The sequence below is a fragment of the Homo sapiens genome, chromosome 1, assembly GCF_000001405.40.
Source record: "Homo sapiens chromosome 1, GRCh38.p14 Primary Assembly".
NCBI classification, from domain to species: domain Eukaryota; kingdom Metazoa; phylum Chordata; class Mammalia; order Primates; family Hominidae; genus Homo; species Homo sapiens.
Window position 1 is genome coordinate 53,328,223 of NC_000001.11, and position 25,072 is coordinate 53,353,294.

Sequence of the window (25,072 nt, forward strand, 5' to 3'; positions counted from 1 at the left end):
GTCTTTCGTCCACTCTTCTCTCAGCGGGCGCTCCACGGCCCTGCTCTGGGCTCGCCTGAGTGCTGGGCTCTGCAGACGCAGGGATGGGCCAGGCGAGCCCCTCACCACGGAGGTAGCAGGTCCAGAGGAAGCAGCAGAGGCTTCCTGGAGGAGGTGACAGGCGGATCAGAGGCTGAGGGATGTCTAGGAGTGAGCCTGGGCGGGAGGGGAAATGATGTTACAGGACGAACAGGCCTGTGCAGTGTGCGCGTGGGGCGGGGGAGGGAGGGATAGGGGTGAGATCCCAAGATGTGGATGAGCAGGGAGAAGCTGGGGGCGCAGGGCTGGACCCCTGCACCTGTCATGGGCTCCGGCTGGGATATTATAAATCCCTGTGGCTGGTTTGGTTTCCGTGCCATGTGCATCTGTGCATGTTGCACGCTCATGTGATCATGGGGACGTGAGGCAGGTGGATTGGGCCTGGTGCACAGACTATTCATCGTCGTTAAGTACGCTCCAGGCCCCTAGTCAGAGGGGCAACCAGGGGGGGCCCGCAGGGAAGACAAGGAATCCTCGCTGTGATGGAGAAAGACGAGGTCTGTGGGGCGGGCCGGGCGGGGGGGAAGGGGAGGGCACGGAAGGGATGCCATCCCTGCCGCTAGGGGCCGCGCACCTAGGCCCGCGCTGTCCGCCCCTGCTGTCTTCTGCAGGAAGGAGAAGGCACCTCTTCCTCTGGAGGGCTGCAGCCCGCCTCACCCACACTGGGGAGAATGGGTGCGGAGAGCGAGCTGGGATTCGATTTCAGCCTCAGACTTGTGAGCCGGGTCCAACCCACACAACCTTCTTTAGAGAATGAGATTCCAGGGCATTGGCCACTCAAAACAACCGGCCTGCAGGTGCCAAGAGCCAGTGTTAGGTCCACCCTCCCTCCCCTCTTGCCCCTTCACCTCCCTCGCGGATGGGCAGGTGCTGTTAGCCCTTGGCCTGGAAACCACCCTGTCTCCTCAGCAGCCTCCTGAGCCGTAGTCCCCCAAAGGGCAGCCCAGCGGCAATATCTGTGGCCACCCCACCAGAAAGGGACTTAGATCCCCAGAGAGCCCGGCACGGTGCTCCTGCCATCATCACCCCTCCTGTCCCTTGTTCATTCAGTCATTCAGCAAGCATTTCAGGCCCTGTTCTGTGCCAACCCTGTGCTGGGCCTGCGGGTACCAAGGTGAATCAGGCATGGTGCCAGCCCCGGAGAGGTCCCTGACCTGTGGGGAGACAGACCATTAGCACACAGACAACGAAATGCAGGCGTCCTTTCACCTATATGTGCCAAACGCCCTTCAAGGCTCAAGGATACAGTGGAAACAGATAAGGTTCCTCCCTGCTCTCCTGCAGTTATGTCTTAGTTGGAAGAGATACACACAAAAGCAGGAAAACAAAAGATTATTTCAGGTCATCATAACTTCTATGGAAAAAACAAAACAGACCCAGGTGAGAGCAATGGGGGTAACTGTAGAGGTGATCAGGCAAGGCCTCACAGAGGAGGTGACATTTCACTGAATGGCAAGATGGATCCTGACCCATGAAGATCAGGCGGAAGGGCATTCTTGGCAAAGGGAATGGCAATCAAGGTGGGCCGGGGCCTGATGACAGGGAAGGAGTGGGTGCCTCAGGTGAGGCTGGAGGGAGTTGGCAAGGCCCTGATCACCAGGGCTTTGTAGGCCACAGCTGGGAGTTTGGATTCTGTGTCAAGCACAATGGTGCCTGGGACTGTGGGATAAAGATAGAAGCCCGTCTTGCTGCCCAAACTGACCTATCCAACTCAGTCCCTCCTCCTCCTCCACTCTGTGGTCTTAGGAAAGTCAATCCTATCTCCCAGTCTCACTTTCTTATCTGGGAAATGGAAGAGATAAGGAATTTCTGAGGTTCATTCCAACTGTAAGATTAGTATGTGGGCCGAAGTCTAGAGGCAGCAGATGAAGAAAAGAAAAGAAAGGAAAAGAGGCCGGGCGTGGTGGCTCGCACCTGTAATCCCAGCACTTTGGGAGGCCGAGGCGGGCGGATCATGAGGTCAGGAGATTGAGACCATCCTGGCTAACACGGTGAAACCCTGTCTCTACTAAAATACAAAAAATTAGCCGGGCATGGTGTCGGGCACCTGTAGTCCCAGCTACTCAGGAAGCTGAGGCAAGAGAATGGCGTGAACCCGGGAGGCGGAGGTTGCAGTGAGCCGAGATCGCGCCACTGCACTCCAGCCTGGGCCACAGGACCAGACTCTGTCTCAAAAAAAAAAAAAGAAAGAAAGAAAAAGAAAGAAAGGAAGGAAGGAAGGAAGGAAGGAAGGAAGGAAAAAAGAGAGAAATGGAGAGCATGGGCCTGTGGGTGAGACTGCCTGGGTCTGAGTCTGTTCCTTCCCTTTCTAGTTATGTGAACTTGGGCAACTCAATCTCTGTGGCTCTAAATGTGAAAAATGAGAAAGGTGATAGTACTCACCTCACAGCATTGTGGTGAGGATATGAGATGAGATTGTGTACGCACAGCATACAGTATATAGTAGCTGCATGAGAAATGTTAGTTATTGTTACTATTATTCAAACATAATTCCCTGTTCACAAAACCCTGATGGCTTTCCAATACCCAGAATCAAGACTGAGCCCAGGCATCCCCCGACCTCCCCAAGGGAGAAGGATGCCAGTTGCCAAAGTGGGCAAATCCTTGTCTCTCAACAGTCCCCTCAGCAGAGGTCCTTCTGGCTCCTCTCAGCCTCCACCCACTTTGGGCCACTTCCCCGGGCTCCTGCAGTCCCTGGGCTTCCCTTTGCCGCAGCCCTGACCACCCTGTGTTGCCACAGTCTGCTTATGCAACTGTCTCCCTCGTCACTCTGTGAGCTGCTGGAGGACAGGAGCCCGCTCTCCTGCATTCCTGGATTCTTGGCACAGGGCACATTTGACCAATGCTTGTTTCTGCCTTTATTGAAGGATTTGTACCCCTAGGAGGACTATGTCTTCCTCATCTTTGTCTTCAGAGGATAAATACAAGGCCTGACACATAACAAGCATGAGGTAAGTTATATTTACTTGAAAAAGTTAAAAGAAAACCACATAAAATAACAACAATAGCCAATATTTATTGTATACTTGCTGGGGGTCAGGCACCATTCTAAATGTTTTAAATTCTTTTTCCTCTTTGATCCTTACGACATCTCCATCAGGCAGGTTTTGTGTTTATCCCATTTTACAGATGAGTAAGCTAAGCAGCAGAGAGGTCACACAGCTAGTAAGTGACTGAGCCAGCATGCGAACCCAGAGGGTGGAAGTGGGAATTTTTCAGGGCACATAAACTGGTTAATTTCTGTGAGGGGCAAAGGGAGAAAGCTCAGTCCTTGAAACACACAAGACACCAAATGGACACTGAGGTCCTGGTAAAGCTTCGGCCACCCAGGTGACTTTGGTTCTCCCCTACCCTGCCTCTCCATCCTGGGCTGACTCAAGCTTACAGACCCTGCCTACCCTGAGTTTCCAAAGAAAACTCCCAAACCCAACCCAAAATGTAATGAATTCCCCATGAGACAGATGTAGGTGATATTTCACCTGCTGTCAATATGGCACCCTGCCACTCCCAAGTCCCATGTTGGTCTCCAGAGCCATGGGAGCCCCAGCAGCCTACTCTTTCACACTGCCCCCCAGGAACTGGAGCTTCAGAACTTTGCCAGGCTGTGACCTCTGCTAGGCCATGCCCTCTGCCTAGAACACTCCCGCATGGGTTGGCTTCTGTTTACCGTTTGGGCCTCACCTCAAATGCCTCCTCCTCTGGGAAGACTTCTCGCCTCCTCCACAGAGATCCTCCCTGCTCCTCTGGGCCCCCACGGCACTGTGTGTCCCAATCTCCCTGATCACACTGGCCTGTCGTTGTTGGCTCCTCCATCCAATGGGAGCTCCTCCAGTAACAAACAGCATCATCCTGGTTCTCACTCTGTCCCCAGTGATGATGCCTCTCCAGTACCAGGGCCAGAGGACCTTCTGTGTTCACCTCGCCCAGCCTGCTCTGGCAGGCCTTATGCTAGGTGAGGGACACAGACGAACAAGACTCCACCTTTTCCCTGGAGGAGCTCTGGTCTGGAGGCAGAGAGAGCCTGGGACAGAGAGTGTCAGCACAGGGGGACAAGAGCCAGGGAGGGGTCTGCTCAGGGGTGCCAGATTCCACCCCCAGGTACCTTAGGCTGTGTCACCAGCCCAGCCAGGGTCGGAGACCAGCAGCCCCAAGCCAAACACAGCCAGGCTGCAAGGGCAAGGGTGCTCTCTACCATCCTTCACTTTCCTCTTCACTTACACTTCACTTCACTTCTCCACTGCCTTCACTTTACAGAAGGGCAGCCCCAGTCCTTCACATGGTACTGTGAGCCCACGGCGCACTTCTCCATGTCACTGTCTCTCTGTGTTTGTGTCTCTGTCTCTTTCCCTCTCTCCCTCTGAGCAGGCAAAGTGTCCTGATTCCTGTAAAAGAGAGATTCTAATTTATTACTGAACTTTACATAGATCCAAACTGCCATGGTTTAAACGACTTGTTACCTGTGTGACCTGGGGCAAGTTACTTTTATGCCTCAATTCCCTCATCTGCAAAACATTGTTAGCATTAGCTAATGTTTCCTAATGCTATCAATTACCTATTGCTGCAAAACAAATTACCCAAAACTTAGCAGCTTCAAACAGAAATAAACATGTATTATCTCTCCCAGTGTCTGTGGGCCAGGAATTGGGGAGCAGCTTAGTTGCATGGGTCTAGCTCTGGGTCTCTCACGAAGTTGCAGTCAAGATGTTGGTGAGGCCACAGTCTTCCAAAGGTTTAACTGGGGCTGGAGTGTCTGGGCCGGCTCAGTCACAAGGTTGGCAAGTCCCTTTTGGCTGGTGGCAGGAGGACTCCATTTTTCACCATGTGGCTCACTCCAGAGGACTGCTCGAGTGTCCACATTGACATAGCTGGCTTTCCTTAGGGAGACAGATCAAAGAAAGAGAAAGCAATGAAGTCACAATGTCTTGTATGACCTGACCATGGAAGTCACGCTCCCTCATCTCTGCAATATCCTGTTGGTTACATAGATCAGCCCTATTCTATGTGGAAGGGAACTACATAGGATTGTGACTCCCAGGAGGTCTGTCTGGGGGCTGTCTTGGAGGCTGGCTGCCACACACTGTCGTAGGATTTGTGAGGATGAATTAATACAGTCCTCCCTCTGTATCCATGGGGGACTGGTTCCAGGACCTCCTGCAGATACCAAAATCCTCAGATGCTCAAGTGCTTGATAGAAAATGATACAATATTTGCATATAATCTGTACACATCCTCCCGTATACTTTACATCATCTCTAGATTATTTATAATACCTATACAATGTAAATGCTATGTAAATAGTTGTTACGATGTATTGTTTAGGGAATAGTGACCAGGATAAAAAGCCTGTACATGTTCAGTACAGATGCAATTATTTTTTCCTGAATATTTCTGATCTGCAGTTGATTGAATCCAGGATTCGGAACCCATGGATAGAGCGAGCCAACTATGTATACACTTATATAGTGTGTACTATGTACTAAAAACCCTTCTAAGAACTTAAGTACACACTATATAAGTCATTGCTATTATTATTGCCTTTGTGGTTGTTTCTGCCACATAGTAAGAACTCTGTAAGAATTATCTGCAGTTACCATTAATATTAGCTGCATTATTGCTATTAGCTGCACAATCCCTTCATCTTGCAGAGGAAAGGAGAGGATGAAGGTGGTTCAGGGGTTCGTAGAAAAGCAGGACAGACCCAGCCTCGGTTTCTTGCCTCTTGGCTGTGTGCTTTCAGGAGGGTGGGCTCACAACTGCCTCCTCCTCCACTGTCTTATGTAGGAGACTGAGTGGGTCCTTCTCCCTCTCTAGGCCTGGGGTGTCCATCCCTAACCTGAGGGGCTGAACTAGGTCAGTATATCCCATAACTGCAGCCATTCTCATCCACTTGAATGAGTTTCTCTATTTCCCCTTACCTGCTACTGTCATCCCAGGGTTCCCCTTAAATCCTTTCACTTAGTAGATTTAGCTTCATCCTAAGCAATAATCTCCATGAAATCACAGGCTTTATATGCTCATTATATTTTTCCAATACATATTAAATTAAATGTATGGCTATTCACATAAACAATGGGCCTCTGTGCACCCAGATGTGTCTCTTTTCTCTAAGGGCCATCAGCTCTGAGCTCCCTGTTTATTCCAGGACAGATGGAGGGCAGGAGCCCTGACCACTCTGCCCATGATGACAGGCATTCCTCAAGGTGACTTGCAGGTGGCTCAGGCCCTGGGTGCCCACCCCCTGAGTCACATGGCTTTCGGGGGCAGACTCAGTACTTTTCTGTTTGCCTTTATTTTGGGTTAGTTTTTATTTTTTAAATTGTTTTTTATGTTTTTATTGATTGACTGATTGATTGATTGATTGGTTGAGACAGGGTCTCGCTCTGTCACCCAGGCTGGGGTGCAGTGGCACCATCTCAGCTCACTGCAACCTCTGCCACCCCCACCCTCCACCAGCCCCAGGCTCAAGCAATCCTCCCACCTCAGCCTCCTGAGTAGCTGGGACTACAGATGCACACCACCACACCCGGCTAATTTTTTTTTTTTAAGTCTTTTTAAAGAGACAGTGTTTCGCCATATTGCCCAGGTTGGTCTTGAGCTCCTGAGCTCAGGCTATCCACCTGCCTCAGCCTCCTAAAGTGCTGGGAGTACGGGCGTGAGACACCTCGAAATCCCCTTCCTTCCTCCCCGCCAGCCCCAGAAACCATATTCTACTTCCTGTATTTATGAATTTGACTACTCTAGGCACCTTAGGTAAGTGCACTCATGCAATATTTACCCTTTTGTGAGTGGCTTATTTCACTTAGCATAACATCGTCAAGGTTCATCCATGTTGTAGCACGTGTCACAATGTCCTTCCTTTTTAAGGATCGGGAATACTCCATTGTATATCTGTTCCACATTTTGTTTCTTCATTCATCCATCAAGGGACAGTTGGGTTGGTTCCACATTTTAGCTACTGCGTATAATGTTGCTATAAACATGAGTGTACAAATATCTCTTCAAGTCCTTGCCTTCAGTTCTTTTGAATATACTCAGAAGTGGAATTGCTGGATCATACTGTGATTCTAGTTTTTATTTTTTGAGGAACCACCATAGTGTTTTCCACAGCAGTTGTATCATTTTACGTTCCTACCAACAATGTGTAAGAGTTCCAGTTTCTCCATGTCCTGGCCAAAACTTGTTGTTTTCTGCTTTTGTTGTTGTGGTTGTTGTTTCTTTGTTTGTTTTAACACAGATCCTAATGAATGTGAGGTTTTTTTTCTCACTGCGGTTTTCATTTGCATTTCCTTGATAATTAGTGATACTGAGCCTCTTTTCATGTACTTATTGGCCATTTGTATATCTTCTTCGGAGAAATGTCTATTAAATTCCTTTGCCCATTTTTCAATTGGGTTGTTTAGTGTTTTGTTGTTGAGTTGTAGGAATTCTTATATATTTTAGCTATTAACCCCTTATCAGATATATGGTTTGCAAATATTTTCTCCCATCCCATTGGCAGCCTTTTCACTCTATTGATTCTGTCCTTTGATACACAGAATTTTTCAATTTTGATGTAGTTCAATCTGTTTTTTCTTTTGTTGTCTGTGCTTTTGGTGTCATATTCTGAACATACTTATATGTGATCGTAATACAATAAATGCTATTTGTAGTGTGCCATGATTAATACTTTTTTCCTGCATGCCTTTGTGTTTTCCCTGGAATTAATAATTGTTACCTTTTGCTTTATTGCTTTATTTCTTTCTTAGCTTTCTATGTATTTATCTCTCTTTCCTCCCTAAACTCTCCCTCATTTGTGTAAATCTCCTCTTACTACAATCACCCACATTCAATACAGTAATCCCCACTTATCCGAAGTTTCACTTTCCGCAGATTAATTTACCCGAGGTCAACCACGGTCCAAAGATATTAAATGGAAAATTCCAGAAATAAACAATGTGTAAGTTTTCAGTTGCATGCTATTCTGAGTAGCAGGATGAAATCTCGTGCTGTCCGGCTTCGTCCCACCTGGGATGTGAATCATCCCTTTGTCCAGTGGATCCGCGCTATAGACACTACTCTCCCATCAGTCACTCAGCAGCTGCTTCAGTTCCCAGATCAACTGTCGCAGGATCGCAGTGCTTCTGTTCAAGTAATCCTTATTTTACTTCATTATGGGCTCCAAAGCACAAGAGGAGTGTTGCTGGTGATTCCGATATGCCAAAGGAAAGCTGTAAAGTACTTCCTTTAAGTAGAAAGGTGAAAGTACTTGACTTAATAAGAAAATTTAAAAAACAAAATTGTATGCTGTGGTTGCTAAGATCTACAGTAAGAATGATTCTATTCATGAAATCGTGAAGAAGGAAAGAAATTTGTGCTAGTTTTGCTGTTGCAACTCAAGCTGCAAAAGTTACAACACCTGTGTGTGATGAGTGCTTAGTAATGATGGAAAAGCCATTAAATTTGTGGGTGCAAGACACGGACAGAAACGTTCTGATTGACGGCAATCAGGTTCCATTGGGGGTATTGGAACACATCCCTGAGGATAATGGGGGACTACTGTATTCTACCAACTTATTCCTCTTGAAGAATTCCCTTTCGGATTTCTGACTGCTGAGTCCTGGACTGGTTGATGGCAAGGCCAGCTGCCCTGGTTGTCACCTGGAGACTGTGCTGCACTTTTCTCCTGGGTCGAACCCCTCAATTCCTAGATCCCACGTCTTCCCCTTCTGGGTTCACTACCTTATTTGGGGGAACATATACCCATAGCTTTCTTTTTGTTTTATTTTTTGTTTACCTATTTATTTATCTTATTTTATTTTTTGAGACGGAGTCTCCCTCTGTTGCCCAGTCTGGAGTGCAGTGGTGTGACCTCGTCTCACTGCAGCCTCCACCCCCCAGGTTCAAGCAATTCTCCTGCTTCAGCCTCCCAAGTAGCTGGGACTACAGGTACGTGCCACCATGTCTGGCTAATTTTTGTATTTCTAGTAGAGATGGGGTTTCTCCATGTTGGCCAGGCTAGTCTCAAATTCCTGACCTCAGGTGATCCAACCGCCTTGGCCTCCCAAAGTGCTGGGATTGCAGGCATAAGCCACTGCGCCTGGCCCCATGTATACCTATACTTTTCTAAAAGGATGTGTTTGGGGTGAAATCTTAAGACCTTGCCTTTCTAAAAGTGCCTCACATTTAATCAGATAGTTTGACCAGGTATAAATTTCTAAACTGGAAATATTTTTCCCTCTGAATTTTGAAGGCTTGCTCCATTGTCTTCCAGTTTCTGCTGAAAAGTCTGAGGCCATTCTGTTTCCTAATCTTTTCTAGAGACTCTGTTCTCTCTTTCTGGAAGCTGTGTCCTCAGTGGGTCTTTTCTTTTAAGAGAAGGGATCCCATCGCCACCGAGGCTGGAGTTCAGTGGCACAATCATCGCTCACTGCAGCCTTGACCTCCTGGGCTCAAGGATCCTCCTGCCCCAGCCTCCTGAGTAGTTAGGACTACAGGCTCATACCACCATGCCTGCTCAGCCTTAGTGTGTCTTGAAGTGAATCGATTTCCATTCACTGTGCTGGGTACCCAGTGAGTCCTCACGGACAAACTAATCATCTTCATTTTGGAGAAAATTTAAAAGAAGTACCTCTATAATGATTTTATTTTTTCTTTCAGGAACTCCTTAATTATTCAAATACTGGCCCTCCTGGAGCAGTTCTCTATATTTCTTATATCCTTTTTCCACCTATTTTTCATCCCATTTTGCTCTTCATTCTGGAAATGTTCTTCAACTCTTCAACAGTTTTTTGTTGTTTTTCAAAAATTTATCTTATCATATTTCCAAAAGCCTTTTGTTTGTTCTTTGACTATTCCTTTTTTTAGAGTATCTCGTTCTTTTCTCACGGATGCAATATTTTCTCTTATTTCTTTGAGGATGTTAGTAATGTTTTGTTGTTGTTTCTGTTGAAGTGTTTCTCACCATGCCTAATCTCTTCTTTGTCCAAGTTAATTTTTTTTTCTGATTGTTGAAAAGACAAGCCACATACTGGGAGAATATATTACAGCACAAATAACGCACAAAGCATTACTATCCGGAATACATAAGTAATTCTTACAAATTGGTAAGAAGACAACTCAATTAAAAAAGAGCAAAAGATATGAATGAGCATTTCACAGCAGAAAAATATGAATGAAAAATAAACCACAAGAAAAGATTCTCAGCCTTATAGAAATCAGGAAAATGTAAATTAAGACCACAGGAAGATTTTCCATGGAAAAGAAGTCCCATAGTGGCAAGTATTGGAGAGGCAGGAATCAACAGGGATCCTTATATGCTCCTAATGCAGTGTAAATTGCTGCAACCACTTTAGAATATTGCGATTTCATTACTAAGTGTAAACCCTGGAGATACACTTGCATGCAAGCACCCAGAGACAGGTGCAAGGATATTCATAGCAGTGCTGTTTATTATGGTAAAAACATGGAAACCACCCTAATGTCCTTAACAGTAAAATTAATTAATTGTGGCATCACCATATAATGAAATCCTATACAGCAGTGGCAATGAGTCTAACATAGCTGTGGCTGGATACAGAAGGAATCATAGAATTATAATGCGGAGTGAGAAAAGCCTGTTGCAGAAGACTACATACAACAGGATTTGACACTTGTAAGGCTCCAAAACAAAGAAAATTAAATGATATTGTTTAGGTTTTCATACATAGGTGATAAAAGTGTGTTTCTTTGTTTTTAATGAGAAAATTAGTCACAGAATTTAAGATCTTAGTTACTTCTATAGGGAAGGCAGGGGAATGGGACAAGGAGGAAGCCCACAGCATTGGTCATGCTCTCATGTTGAAGTTGGGTTCAAAGGTGTTCATTATTAAAATGCTTCATAATGATGACCATACATTTGGTATTTCTAGGACAATCTTGGTTTACATCTATTGTCTCAACATAATTATTCAGTGCAAGCCTTTCCTTTCTCAGAAAGGTCCTAATGTAGATAATAAATTATTTTGGCCAACTTATTTCTTATAAAATGCAACATGCATCTCTTTTGTATGTATCTATTATTCCATAATCTATACAGGTGTTTTTGTTTTTTTGTTTTTGTTTTTGTTGTCATTGTTGTTGTTTGTTTGTTTTTTTGAGACAAGCCTCTCTCTGTTGCCCAAGCTAGAGTAAAGTGGCACGATCTGAGCTCACTGCAACCTCCGCCTCCGGGTTCAAGCGATTCTTGTGCCTCAGCTTATCAGGTAGCTGGGACTACAGGCACCCACCACCACATCTGGCTAAATTTTTGTATATTTAGTAGAGACAGGGTTTTGCCATGTTGCCCAGGCTGATCTCGAACTCCTGGCCTCAAGTGATCTGCCCACCTCAGCCTCCCAAGGCTAGGATTACGCTAAGATTATAGACATAAATCAGCGCACCTGGCCTCCATAATCGATATAGTTTTTAATACTGGGGCCACAGCCTGGCCACAGTCTCATGGGATGTTTGTGGTTTGACCCTAACAACCTTGTGAACCAGCCTGGGTAACTGTCCTTGGGGCCTCAATGAACCAAGCCCTGGAGCACCCAGTCCCCAGATCCTTCTGGCCACTCTGACTCCCTGTGCCCTGGACCCCACACCTCACCTGTCCTGGGCCCCACTCTGTCCTCTCCTCCACTTCTCACTGCCTGTGGAGCCATCTTCCAGGGGCCCTGAAACCTCACCCACAATCCAGGTCCACCCAGGGCCCCTGTGCCAGGCCCCATGCTGGGTGATATTGGGGAACCATCTTGGGGGCAGCTGGAGATGGAAACCGTGACAACCCAGTGGATCAAGGCTATGGCACAGACCAGGCTGTGACACTGCAGAGGAGAGGGCTTAGCCCAACCTGGGGCCCAGGGAAGGCTGCCTGGAGCTGTTTTGAAGTCTGACGGGAGTGAGCTGGGTAGGGAAAGTGGGGGGAAGAGTGCTCCGGGCAGACAGGACAAAGTGCAGACAGTAGGGTAAGGAGGCACGGTGGGGGACGCAGCTCACATGTTGCTGTGAGCAGAGCACAGAGCACAGGGCAGTGCCTGGCAGAAGTGGGTCTGGAAAGGGTGCCTCCTGGAGCCATGAATGCCAAGCCCAGGGTCTTGGACTGTATCCTGAAGGCAGCAAGGAGGCACTGAAGGCATTAGAGCGAAGCAAGGAGAACTGTCAGGCCAGGTGAGTCATATCAAGTGAGGTGAGAGTGAAATTGGGAGAGAGAAGCGGAAAGAGACAAGGCAGCAGAGACATTTTATTGTTCTGCTTCGTCCTGGAAACCCACTCCCTGACAGCCTCCTCCCCCTGTCCTGCACCCACCACCCCCACACCTATCCATACACACACTGCAGAGCCGGTAGGGGAGGAATAGCTCTGTGGTCTTGTGTGCAGGTGCTGCTATGGGACTTCCTGGGTTCACATCCCAACCTTGCCACTTGTCCTACCTGTGTAACTTTGGGCAGTGGCTCAATGTCTCCATGTGTCCAGTTTCCCTGTAAAATGAGGATGATGGAAGTACTTACCTCACTGAAGCTTAACTGAGTCACAGGGGCCTGGCACATAGTAAGCTCTCAATCACTGTGAGCCGTCATGGTCACTGGGGTGACACCACCTGCTCTCCTCCAAAACAGAGGAGACTATACCCAAGGAAGAAGAAACCAGAGAAAGGACAGGAAGGTTTGGTGGCAGCGACTAGTCTCGAGACGGCAGTCCCCAGAACAGGGCTGGATGTGTCCCCACCAGTAGACAGGCCCAGATGCAAGGCCTCTGATGTGTCTGCCGCTGCAGCCTCCATTCCTAGGGTGGTGACTCAATAAATATGTGCTGAATGAATGAATGAATGAATGAAATGTCATGACTTCCAGGTACCCCACTGATGTGGTTTGACTGTGTCACCACCTAAATCTCATCTTGAATTGTAGCTCCCACAATCAGGTGTTGTGGGAGGGACGTGAATCATGGGGGTGGGTTTTTCCCATGCTGTTCTCGTGATAGTGACTAAGTCTCACAAGATCTGATGGTTTTATAAAGGGCAGTTCCCCTACACACGCTTTCTTGCCTGCCACCATGTAAGATGTGCCTTTGCTCCTCCTTCATCTTCCGCCATGATTGTGAGGCCTCCTCAGCCATGTGGAATTGTGAGTCCATTAAACCTCTTTTTCTTTATAAATTATCAAGTCTCAGGTATGTATTTATAGCAGCATAAGAACAGACTAATACACCCACCTACAAATAAAGCCCTGAGGTCTCTTCCCCGCCCTTGCTTGGGTGGGTGCAGTGAGTGGAATGTGTAGTCCCTGATGCACCATCTCCGGCCCTTACAGTTTATGGCTCCTCACTGGGCTGTGTCCAGCAACATCTATCCTGCTGTTTCCCCTACTCTGGGCTGTCCCTGCTCTTGCCGCTTTCCTGGGGAGTGGGTGAGGACTGAGGGACACTCAGCCCCAGCCTGGGGACCCAGGGACGAGGAGACACCTCGGGAGGGCTGGGTCACTTCAGGCAATTACCTTCACCTCTCTAAGCCTCTTGAAAATGGGCAGAATGATCCCTAGGTGTCAGAGGTATGGAGAGCATCATGGGAGATGACATCCCTGAAGTGAGGCACACTGTGATCTGTGTGTCAGCATTGGCAGGCTGGGAATAGGGTGAACCTGTGAGGCACCTGGGGTGCAAGTTCTCCCTGGGTCTGGCCCTGTGCTTGGTAAATGCTGCCTTTTACTACATAAGGGACAAGTCTGTCAAGAGTGCCTGAGCAATGGCCTGCAGCCGGGCCTGGGGACAGGGCTTTCCTGGGCTGGTGATGGTCTGAAGCCCAAGTGGCAAGAAGAAAACTGGAGCCAAGAGGCCCCTTCCACTCAGGACCAGCCTCTCCCCACCCCTCACCCCATACTCCCCAGGAGCCCAATAGACACATCATTTCTCTTCCCCTCCATGAGTGAGCTCCGGCGGGGGGTGGTGGCCTGGTTTCCCAGGCCCTGCCCCTGGGACCCCCAACCTGTCTCGGAGGAGATGCCTTCCCAGCCTCAGGCCATAGCCCGCCCAGCCCACCCTGGGACTGACTCCAGCACAGACACCAGATGGCACCTCTGTGTGTGAGCCCACTGTGGGGTGTTGCGTGTTTCTGCATGACTGTACATGTGTGTGCATATCCATGTGTGGAGAGGGCTATTTCTTCATGTGGTCTTGCATGGGTAGCTGAGTCTGTGTGCGCTTGGAAGTATGCTATGAGTGTGTGTGTGTGTGTGTGTGTGTGTGTGTGTGTAAACTCCCAGATGTCAACTTGTTGCTTGTGTCACCATTAGCATGTATCTGGGTGTCCTGGTTAGAGGGTCATGTGTATGTGCCTGTGCCTTTGTGTAATTGGCCCTTGGGGTGTCTGGGTGTATCTAGATGAAGAGAGCTTTGCTATACATCTGTGTGGTTGCATACTTCTGAGTGTGTTGCTGTGCATTTGGAGGGGTTTGTGTAAAATTACTAGGTGCCTAGTCTAGGACTTGAGACAAACAAGACAATCACAGTGGTGTGTGATGCTGTGGGGCCATGGAGTTTCAGAGAAAGGGAGGACGAACCCTACCTGCAGGGAGATGGAAGTCTTTCTGGAGGAGAGTGAGAGAGCCTTCAGGCGGACGGAACCGTGGAACAGGTGCAGAAGTTGGAAAGCATGTATTGAAGCAAGGCTGGAGACGTCTCCTCACTTAAGAAGACCTGGAATGGCGGGATATAGGACAGGAGAAGTCAAAAAGTATGTTCAGTATGGTCATGGCTTCCGTGGGGCCTGCTGTGGGATCCCAGATCTAGGCTCTGGAAACTGAGAGAAAGGGACAGCCCTGGTGAGGATGGAGAACAGGCAGCATTAGCTGGACCAGCCCTGCCCCAGGTTTCTAGGGAGATGGATGGCATAGCTCCCACATCGTTCTTGGGCTGATACTTCTCTTTCCCAGGGGTGATGGCCTGTGCACCCAACCAGACCCAACCAGATCCTGTGGTGGGGCTGGAGTGAGGTGGATGGGGAGCTGTCTGGGACAGGAATCCCTGTGTCCTGCATCCTCATTGCTGGCTCTGCTGCTGACATCATAATGCTGGAGGTAGGAGAAGAGCCCATGTGGATTTCGGGTCCAGCATGCCCCATCAGGCTGGTGCTCTGCGCTCATGAGTAGTGGGTAAAAAAAACAAGGACTTGGGAGCTGAAGGCTTGGATTTAAACCCTGACTCTACCACACACTTGTCTGTGACCTTGGGCAAATCACCTAACTTGTGCTTTCAGTTTCTCTGTGCCTCAGTTTCCTGATCTATAATCAGGGGATGATAATAGCATTGATGCCCGTCAATAGTATCGATGTGCAGATTAAACTAGTAATATGTTAAAAATGCTTATAATAGCACCTTTTCCAATAACCAAAAGTGATGGAAACATTAGCTACTATGGTATTATTATTTCCTTACATTCTCACAACGACTGTATGAGGCCCACATTATTTCCTTCACTTCAATAACACAGGCTTTGGACTTACCCAGGTCTCGGTCTGAATCCTGACTCTGAATCCACCCCTAGCTGTGTGAACCCGGGAAAGCTGCTTCCCCTCTCTGCGTTTCAGAGTCCCCATGCATGGAATGAGGTTGCTGTCAGGAATGAATGGAATGATACATGCAAGGCTCTGAGCCGGGTGCCTGGGGCAGGGTACACACTTCTGACGGGTCATAAAAGGTGAGGACCCAGAACCAGTGTGGTTAAGCAGCTTGGCCAGGGTCTCAGGGCCAGTAAGGAGCAGGGCCGGGACTGGAACATGGAGGGTCTGACCAGAGGCCCAGGTGCCTCTCCCCTGCCAGGCTGCCTCTCCTCTGGGTCTTGGTGTCTCCATCTGTAAGGTGAGTTGCTACACTGAGAGGGCCTGCTGGATGGGTCAGCGAGGAGGGAGGGTGCTGGGTTCAGACTGCAGGGCTGGAAGGGAGTGGAGGAGGCCCAAACCCCCAACCCGGACCAGAATTATGGTCCCGTGACCACAGCCTTCTGCTCTACCAGAGATCTGCCCCTTCACCCAGCCCCTCACCAGAACAGGCTCCCTGGTGGAGGCCCCCAATGCCACATATTTCTCCATCTGTTCCCTACCAATCATCCTGTGAACTTGGGTGAATCTCTCAACCTCCCCAGCTTCAGCAGCCTCATCTAGGCACCACACAAGCTCACTGCTTGTGGAAGTGCCTGACTTGTGTATCAATGACTAGCACTTGCTGGGCACCTGCTGGGTGCCACGCTCTTTTCTAGGCACTTTACCTGCATTAATTAAGTTAATCATCCCACCAGCCCTGTAAGTGGCATACTGCTCCCAGGATGGGATGAGATCCTGCACCCTGGGGAGGGACAAATTAGATAATGGAAGAAAATTGCTATGAACGGGGCTGGGCACCTGGTAAATGCTACATACGTGTTTATTTTCTTGTTATTATTCTTCCCAGGACTTCCAAGTTGGTTTTTGTTTTGTTTTATTTTAGAGATGAGGTCTCACTATGTTGTTCAGGCTAGATTCAAACTCTGGGCTCAAGCAATCTCCTTGCTTCAGCTTCTTGAGTAGCTGGGGCTACAGGTGTGAGCCACCACGCTCAGCTCCGGCACTTTCAAGTTTACAAAACACCAGGACCTCCATGCTTCTTTGGGAAAGTGGGACACAGGGAGCAGGCATTATTACTCTCATTTTTGCTGCATTCATCTGTTCTCCACTCATTCATTCATCAATCCAGCATCCGTCCAAGGACCAGGCCTAGGCCAGGTGCTCTGGAGACCCTGACAAGAGGCTAGGGGCTTCTAGTTTTGCTCAGGGGCAGAAAGCCCACAGGCCTTCAGGGGCTGGGGAGTGAGACCCACTCCAGTGGGTGGTTGCCTGGCAGGGATAGGGACCCGGTGAGACCAGCTCTTCTGATTCTTCAAGAAAAGCTTTCAAGAAAATAGATCTAGATTTTTGTGTAAAATATCTTGATCTTTTATCTTTTAAATGTTTGCAACCAATTTGATAAAAACAAACAAATGGCCAGGCACAGGGGCTCACGCATGTAATCCCAGCACTTTGAGAGGCCGAGGTGGGAGAATTGCTTGGACTTCGAGACCAGCCTGGGCAACATAGTGAGACCTCATCTCTACTAAAAATAAAAAATTAGCCAGACATGGTGATGCACGCCCATAGTCTTAGCTACTCTGAAGGTTGAGTTTGGGAGATCTGGGCTGCAGTGAGCTATAATTGCACTACTGCACTCAAGCCTGGGCAACAGAGCGAGTTGCTGACTCAAACAAACAAGCAAAAAAGGGAAGAAAGAAAGCTACTGTGCAGTCTGTGTCCTGTCCGTGGAATGAATGTTTAACACCCTCCCATGGCCCTCATCACCCTGTAACCCTGACCTGGCATTCCAGATCCTTCTCTGTTTGGGCCTTGCTCTCCTCCCTTCGCCTCACCTCTTGAGGACCTTGCTCTGGGATGCCCACCATCTGTCACACCTTCTTTCCCAAGCCCGATCACACCTCCTTTCCCAAGCCCGATCACACCTCTGAGCCTTTGCATATGCTGTGCACCCTACCTTTTGTCTTTTGTCTAATATTTGAGGCCATGTACATGGGTGCTGCTCTACACACAGAGATCCAAAAGCAAGCAGAAAGGACAAAGACCCTCCCCTCAGAGAACTTACATTCTAGGGGGGAGCCAGAAAATAAAGAAATCATTAAAATCATGATAGATGGCAATAAGGACTGTGCTCAAAAACTAAAGCAGGGAATGGGGACTGGGGCTGCTGAGGCAAGGAGGATGCTGGCATTTTAAACAAGTCTGCCAGGGAAGATCTTGGTGGGCTGGGCCCAGCCCAGGACTTTCCCACTTTGGGAGAAGCCTATGCACCTGGGAGTCAAGTGGCTGAATCTGGGTCATTCCAGCAGGGCTTCCTGGAGGAGGTGTCCAATGATGGCCTTGGAGGATGAGAAGGGAGTGGTTACTATGCAGGGTATGAGGGTCCTGAGGAGAGATTCCTAGTGGAGGCTGGAAGTTAATTCACTCCTGATCTATTGGGTACCAGGCAGAGTGGGTAGGGGACAGCCCTCACCCCAAGACTGGGCCTTGAACCCAGACTATTGACCCAAGCCCCTCATTACCAGAAGCCCTTTGGCTCCCACCAGACCCCGTTCTCCTACATCAGGAACTACCGGGGCTGAGGCAGCAGGTGGCTGTGTCTGGAGCTGGTCAGGGAGAACGCACATGAGACAGGAACAAGGCCAAGTGAACGCCTGGTGACCAGATGCTCTGTGGCCTGTAGGGCAGGCAGGTGGATACAGAGGATGCTGGGCTGGGCCTTCTTAGGGGCTCTCCTACCATCCCCTGCCAACGTTTGCCAAGAAGTGCAGTTGTGGCCAAGATGCCACAGGCCACTCTTCTTTTATTTATGGATTTAATTTGTCCCATGCATCATGCTGACAGCTCGGAAGTAGGCAGCTGCAGGGGCCCTGGCCTGGCTCCTCCTTGATTCGGCCTGTGCTTAGGCTAGCTGGGCCCAGAGGTATTTCTCTGCTGCTGATTTGTGCCTGAGGCCCTAGGGGATGGGGTGGTTCAGCTGCTATTTGTGGAAGTTTCTGGGGTGTGCCAACCTGACCAAGAATCGTTCCTTATCCCTGGGCCCAGAGCAAGTTCATTGCCCCCATTTTGCAGGTATGGAAGGTGAGGCCCAAGGTGACATGGTGAGTCTGTGGCAGAGACCCTGGGACTGCTGTGTCCCAGCTGGCACTTGCCACTATCTGGTCCAGCTCGGGATTTTGTCAGCCAGGCCTCCCAGCCAGGAAGAGGGTGTTGCCTGCTCCCCATCAGTGGGAATGGGTGAAGGGAGAAGCAAACTGGGGGAGGGAGAGTGTATTCGTCTATTCTAACTCTGCTATAAGGACATACTGGAGACTGTGTAATTTATAAAAGAAAGGAGGTTTTTTTTGTTGTTGTTTGTTTCTGTTTTTGTTTTTGTTTTTGTTTTGAGACGGAGTCTCGCTCTGTTGCCCAGGCTGGAGTGCAGTGGTGTGATCTCAGCTCACTCAACCTCCGCCTCCTGCGTTCAAGCGATTCTCCTGCCTTAGCCTGCCGAGTAGCTGGGATTACAGGCATGCGCCACCACGCTCAGCTAATTTTTTTTGTGTGTGTATTTTTAGTAGAGGAGGTTTTGCCGTATTGGCCAGGGTGGTCTTGAACTCCTGACCTCAAGTGATCCGCCCGCCTTAGCCTCCCAAAGTGCTGGGATTACAGGCATGAGCCACTGTGCCCGGCCTATAAAGGAAAGTTTAATGGGCTCACAGTTCCACATGGCTGGGGAGGCCTCACAATCATGGCAGAAGGTGAAGGAGGAGCACATTTTCAACTTTTCTGTGTCACTGAGAAATTTCAGGGTACAAAGTTCGTTGGGGGAGATAAAACTGAGGAGATGCCCCTGTTGAACTCCTATTTAAAGACAGTTCCCCTTTTTCCAGCTCTTGGTAGCAGAACATAGTGGGTAAAAGTGCAGGCTTTGGGGTCCAGCTACCTTGATGTGGCTCCTGGCTGTGGCCTTGAACCAGTTACTTAACCGGCCTCCATTTCTTCACCTAAAAAGTGGAGATAATGACGTACATACTACCCCATCAGGTGTTTGGGAGGCTGTGATGGGAATATATGTAAGTCGTCAGAATGGAGCCCACACAAGGCGGGTGCTCCATAAATGTGGGCTGCGCCATGGTTGGCCCATTCTTTGGCGAGCTCTCAGCAGGGTCATTAACATGGGCCATGGAGAATAGCCACGTGGCACCTGGTGATGGCCCAGCACTGCGAGGGGGTTGAATTGTCTCCTCTTATTCCTAGACACACACACACACACACACACACACACACACACACACACACACACACACACACCCAGCCAACTCTGCACAGACTGCATTTTTGTAATGTCAGATTTATTACGGCTTGTATAGGGCTGTTAATTCTTTATTTTAATTTTTAAAATTTAATAACATTGTGTTGTTTTCACTGTTCATTTTTAAGATTAAAGTCTACTTGAGGCAAGTCATACTGGTTTTCCATTTGTAGAAATAATGAAACGTTTCCTTTTAAAATAAAGTTTAAGAAGTGAGTTGATCTCTGAACTACCTTCACAGTATTTCTGTGTATCTAAAACTGTCCTAAACTAAATAGTTACTTAAAAAATACCCAGGTTCATTTTTTTTTAAAGCTTTTAGAGAAAAGTGAGTTGATTAAAGGGAGGTATGAAGTAAATGCTGGCGAATGCTGCTTCGCTGGGAACTGGTTTCATCCTGCTTTCCTCCCAGCCCTGATGGACTGTTCACAAGAGAGGGCATGGGGAGGCTGGAGAGGGGAGAGGAGGAAGTGTGGGTGACAAAGCCCAGAGCTCTTTGGGAGTGGGGGCAGGGTGTCTCCCAGGGTCCCTCTCATAGGTGTGACAGAGTGAGTTTAATGACAGGTGAAGGGATGGTTAAATTCCCCGAGACAGCAACAGTGGGGAGCAGTTACTACCCCTGGACCCGCAGGGCAAAGCGGGCAGCGGTCCTGGAGCCACGTGAGGGCTGAGGCAGTGGAAGAGGGCCAGTGGCCTTCGGTACAGGAACACAACTGGCTCAGCAGGGACGGCACCAGGGAGTGAACCTGCCAGCCTCTCTCTCCTTCCCACCCCCAGAGCTCCTGCTGCTCCTTCCTGCTGAGCAAACCCACCAGAAGCCAGAGGCCAGGGAGCTCGTGTGAGGCATCAGTCCACAGAGCAGAGGCAGAGAACGCAGCTGCAGGGCCGGCGGAGAGGACCTAGTCCTGGCAGGTGGGGCTGGGAGGGCAGAAGCTCTGCAGATCTGTGGGAAGAGCCTGGAAGCCAGAGTCAGCTGTCTTGTGTCACACCTACTGTGTGCCACAGGATGCGCCGCTTCTCCTCCCAAGCCTTGGTTTCCTCATCTGTCCTCTGGGGCAGCCGACGGCTCCCCCTAGGAGTGCAGAGAAGCCGCCATGGGTCAATGTAGGGTATGTGTAAGCCCTGGGCACGCGGTAGGCTTGCTGGTCAAACAGAATACCGTCTGCCCTTTCCAAGAGAGGACAGAGCCCCTCCTGTCTCCTCACAGTCACTGGTGGGGTGCCGCACTCTGCCAACTTCCTCTAAGCCACTTTGGGGGTAGTAATGTCCCCTGCACAGGTCCCTGTTGGTTTGGCCACCACCAGTTTGCTCAAACCAGGCCTCCGGCCTGCAATGCCAGGATGCTCCTTGGTGTCTCTAATCCTACCACACACACTGAGTCTCACCTTGTTACCCCATCAAGCTACAGAGGAGGAGCCCAAGGTCTCAGGAGGGAAGTGGCTAGTCCAAAGTTGCTACAAGCCAGTGGCCGGTCAGTGGGACTGCCAGGGGCTGGTTTGGTCAGAACATTGCCGGGGAGGCCCTTCCCCTAGACCTGGCCTGGTTCCTGGCCTGAGGGGCCTCCCCGGGAGGCAAGAGAACCCTGGTCAAGGCTTCTGGATCCTTTATTTTCCAACCTCATTAAACACCTGCAGATCCATTTGCTACCTAATAATACGGAGGGAGCACCAGGGAATTTTTGAAGGAAAAAAAATCATTCAAATTGAAGAAAGAAATAAACACAGGCTTGCAGGAGTGCAAGTGCCCTGGGGAGTTCCAGTGATTTCAATACCCACCCATCTCTAACAGTAGCCCCCACCCCCATTTCTTTACAAATAGCTGATGGCCTCTTGGCCTTGAGTAAAGAAATTACAAAAGTACCTCCAAGCCCCTCCTTCCTCCCATGTCCTCCCTTGGCCCAGCAGGGAAAGTCCTGGCTCCAATCCCTGACTGTGCTGACTGGCTGTGTGGTCTTGAGCGCATGACTGCCCTCTCTGGGCCTCAGTCTTTCCCACCTGTGTAAAGGAATAATGGTCCTTCTCCTATTCTCATCCTGCTGGTCTAGGAGAAAACACCTGGCCCCAGCCATTCTTCTCTCTCTCTCTCTCTCTCTCTCCTCACCTTCCGACAGCCCCACCATGCTCCAGCCACACTGAACTTCCTGCCACTCCCCAAATATATCAGATGAGTTAGGGAAGGTGCGTCAATTGGATTTTGTTGTGTAATAAACTGCCTCCCAGTTGCACCTGTTGGTTTAAAACAATAAGCATTTATGGTTCCACTGGGCAGTTGTGTTGATGTCACTGTGTTTATTGTTGCACCTGAGTCAGGATGTCCCATCTGTGACAGGTTGATTACACACTTGGCCCCAGGTCTCCACCCTCCTCCCATATCTGTGACCCTTGCAGTGTGACTTCACAGTTCCTCCATCAAGCGGGTGGTGGTGGGGTGCCATTTTCCTACCCCTCCATCTGGGCTGGCCTTATGATTTGCTTTGACCAACGGAATGTGGCAGCAGCGATGACAGGCCAGTTCTCAGCCTCAGCTGTAAGAAAGAGGCCCTACATGCTTCTTTTCACTGTCCTGGCCCATCACTGCTGCCATGAGAATGACTGGGCTTGGCTGCTGGAGAATGAGAGACCCCATGGAGGGAGGCCTCAGCCACCGCAGCCCAGGCCCACCCAGACCTGACAGCCCCTAGTCAACCAGGGTCACCGAATTGTCTCAGTTTGCCCAGGATTAAGGTTTCTCCTGGGACATGGGTCTTTCAGGGCTATCACTGGGACAGTCCTAGGAAAATCAGGATGTTTGATCACCCTAAGCTGACCCACCTGCTGACTCAGGTAGAGGAACAAATCCTGCTGAGATCAAAAGAACTGCCCTGCTGGCCTGTAAATGCCGATTGTTTTAAAGCAACTACTGCATTTGGAAGGTGACTTGTTATACAGCAAAATCTTCCTCATACACCTCCATCTCTGTGTGAAGAACTCAGAGTTGCTGCCTATGGCTGTGCAGGTTGTGCACTGCACAACTGCAGGGAGACCCAGTCCCAGAGAACACATTGTGAATGGCACTGCTTAGGATTGTGCAGGATGGAAGTCCTAGATAAACTCAGCCAGGCTCCAGTTCAAATGTCGCCTCCTCTGTGAAGTCTTCCCAGACTCCCCTGGATCTAATTTACTGGGGGAAAAGGAACCTCCTGTGCTAAAAAGAGCACAGGTTTTAGAGTCAGACAGGCCTGGTTCAGAGGCCCTGCTGCTTACACACCGGGCCAGTCATTTGAACCTCACAGAGACTAGGAATGGCTGCAGCTGCCATTCTTGGGGTTGTGATGAGGAGAGAGCACAGGGACAGTGCCTGGCAGACAGTGTGTGTTTCACAGAAGCATCAAGCCCAGGCGCCTCCCCACACAGCCCCGAACCCTCTTCTCTCTGTTCCCGCTGCTGTGGTTCCTTCCCTGGCTCCAAGACTTTCTTCCTCCACAAAATGCAGTCACTTCCTTGCTGGTGTCCCATCCCCCAGGCTTGCGCTGTATTATGTATTGAGGCCAAAGGGACTTTCTCTTTTTTAATTTTTAAAAAATTATGTAGTAAAATTTATTTTTTTCTTTTGATGTACAATCCTATGAATTCTAACTCATGTACAAACGTATGTAACCACCACCATAATCAGAACACAAGGGACTTTCTTTTCAAAGTATGTCTTTTTTGATACTAAAATTTTGGAATAGATAACATATACTTTGTAAAAAAAAATACGTAAAAGTATAAAAGTTACTCGGTAAGAACTGTGTCTCCCACTGCTGGTTACTCCTCAGATGCAATTTGTAGTTTTTAGTTTTGACAACTGTATACACGTGTAACTATTCAAAATAAAACAGAGAATATTTCCATCATTCCAGAAGATTCCCTCATGCTCCTTCCTGGTCAGTCTCCACTCCCATCATCCCAGAGGCAACAACTGAGATTTTTCATCACAGATTTGTTTTGCTTGTTCTAAAATGTACCCTTCTAGAGATATTTCATGCCTATACAAGCATAAGTATGTAGAACTATCCTGAAGACTCCAATTTTATATCACTGAAACCATATCTTGTTTTTTTGTACTTAATATATTTTGGAAATTGTTTTAGATCAGTAACAATTGCAGCCTACACACACGGTCCTTACCATAGACCACTGATCTAAATGCTTTGTGTATATTTGCTTATTTAATTTTCAGCACAGTTTTGAGGTAGGTGACATTATTGTTATTATTGTTGTTGCTGCTGTTATTATACTATCATCATTATCATTCTTACCAGTCCCATTTTAGAGATAACAAAAACTGAGGCACAGAGAGATTAGGTTAGGGAACTGGCTCTAGGTCACACAGTCAGTAAATGGCAGAGCTGGGGTTAGGAGCCAGGCATCCTAGCTCCAGAGTCTGTGTTCTGAGGGACCACATTCAACTGCTCTGGTGTACTTCAAGCAATCTCAAGGAATTCCATTATATCAAGACACAGTCATTTATTTAACCAGCATCCTCCTGATGGCTATTATTTGCCACTGTGAACAGGGATGCAATGGATATCTCTGTCATTCATCTTTCTGGACATGTGGAAGTGTATCTGTTGAATTAATTCCTGGAAGCTGAATGCCTGGGTCACAGGGTGAGTGCAATTTTGTATTTGATAGATATCGCCAGAATGTCCTCCCAAGAGTTATCAATTTATATTCCCATTAACAAGGCAGGAGAGAGTTTACTGCCCTCCACTCTTACCAACATAAGATATTATCAAAATTTTTTATCTGTGTTATCTAGCTGGGGAAAATTGTAACTTCATGTCATTTGTATTGGCATCTTCTCTTATTGTAATTTAGGGGGACATCTTTTCATGTATTTGGAAGCCATTTGCATATACTTTCTGTGAGCCATCTGTCCATGCCCTGTGCCCATTTTTTTCTTGGGTTATTAATCTTTAAAAAAAGAGTGGTCTCTCTTTATATAATAGTTTATTCATTTTCTTTCCATTTTATTTGTGGTATTCCCCTCCCCCCCCCAATCAGATGTGGTTAATTTTAGTGTGATCATATTTATCTTTTTTTTTTTTTTTTTTTTACGACTTCTGGGTTTGAATTATTTTGAGAAAGGC

General features: G+C 48.5%; 2 long non-coding RNA genes across 4 annotated transcripts, besides 4 other annotated features; one reads left to right on the top strand and one right to left on the bottom strand.

Moving 5' to 3' along the window:
• On the top strand, nt 11-8,287 carry LRP8-DT (LRP8 divergent transcript). Its single transcript, NR_131923.1, has 3 exons — nt 11-153; nt 2,946-3,029; nt 7,948-8,287. It is a non-coding gene; the product is annotated as an LRP8 divergent transcript (long non-coding RNA).
• Nucleotides 55-284: an enhancer, noted in NCBI's record as "active region_1046". NCBI's record gives its function as "activates an Ori minimal core promoter by ATAC-STARR-seq in GM12878 lymphoblastoid cells {active_cell/tissue: GM12878}" and the evidence as "EXISTENCE:reporter gene assay evidence [ECO:0000049][PMID:35858748]".
• LOC105378731 (uncharacterized) lies at nt 4,008-18,008 on the bottom strand. Of its 3 annotated transcripts, none has more exons than XR_007066092.1 (5): nt 17,937-18,008; nt 14,633-14,763; nt 12,504-12,551; nt 4,297-4,952; nt 4,008-4,099 (listed from the first exon to the last, which is right to left on the bottom strand). It is a non-coding gene; the product is annotated as an uncharacterized LOC105378731 (long non-coding RNA). The 3 variants fall into 3 exon arrangements; XR_007066093.1 differs by lacking the exon at nt 4,008-4,099 and having other exon boundaries at nt 4,279-4,460; nt 4,631-4,952; XR_001738057.2 differs by lacking the exon at nt 4,008-4,099 and having other exon boundaries at nt 4,279-4,952.
• Nucleotides 11,335-11,836: an enhancer, noted in NCBI's record as "H3K4me1 hESC enhancer chr1:53805229-53805730 (GRCh37/hg19 assembly coordinates)". NCBI's record gives its function as "activates a minimal SCP1, AML or CMV promoter by ChIP-STARR-seq in primed H9 embryonic stem cells {active_cell/tissue: H9 hESC(primed)}" and the evidence as "EXISTENCE:reporter gene assay evidence [ECO:0000049][PMID:30033119]".
• Nucleotides 17,444-17,673: an enhancer, noted in NCBI's record as "active region_1047". NCBI's record gives its function as "activates an Ori minimal core promoter by ATAC-STARR-seq in GM12878 lymphoblastoid cells {active_cell/tissue: GM12878}" and the evidence as "EXISTENCE:reporter gene assay evidence [ECO:0000049][PMID:35858748]".
• Nucleotides 22,909-23,764: an enhancer, noted in NCBI's record as "NANOG-H3K4me1 hESC enhancer chr1:53816803-53817658 (GRCh37/hg19 assembly coordinates)". NCBI's record gives its function as "activates a minimal SCP1, AML or CMV promoter by ChIP-STARR-seq in naive H9 embryonic stem cells {active_cell/tissue: H9 hESC(naive)}" and the evidence as "EXISTENCE:reporter gene assay evidence [ECO:0000049][PMID:30033119]".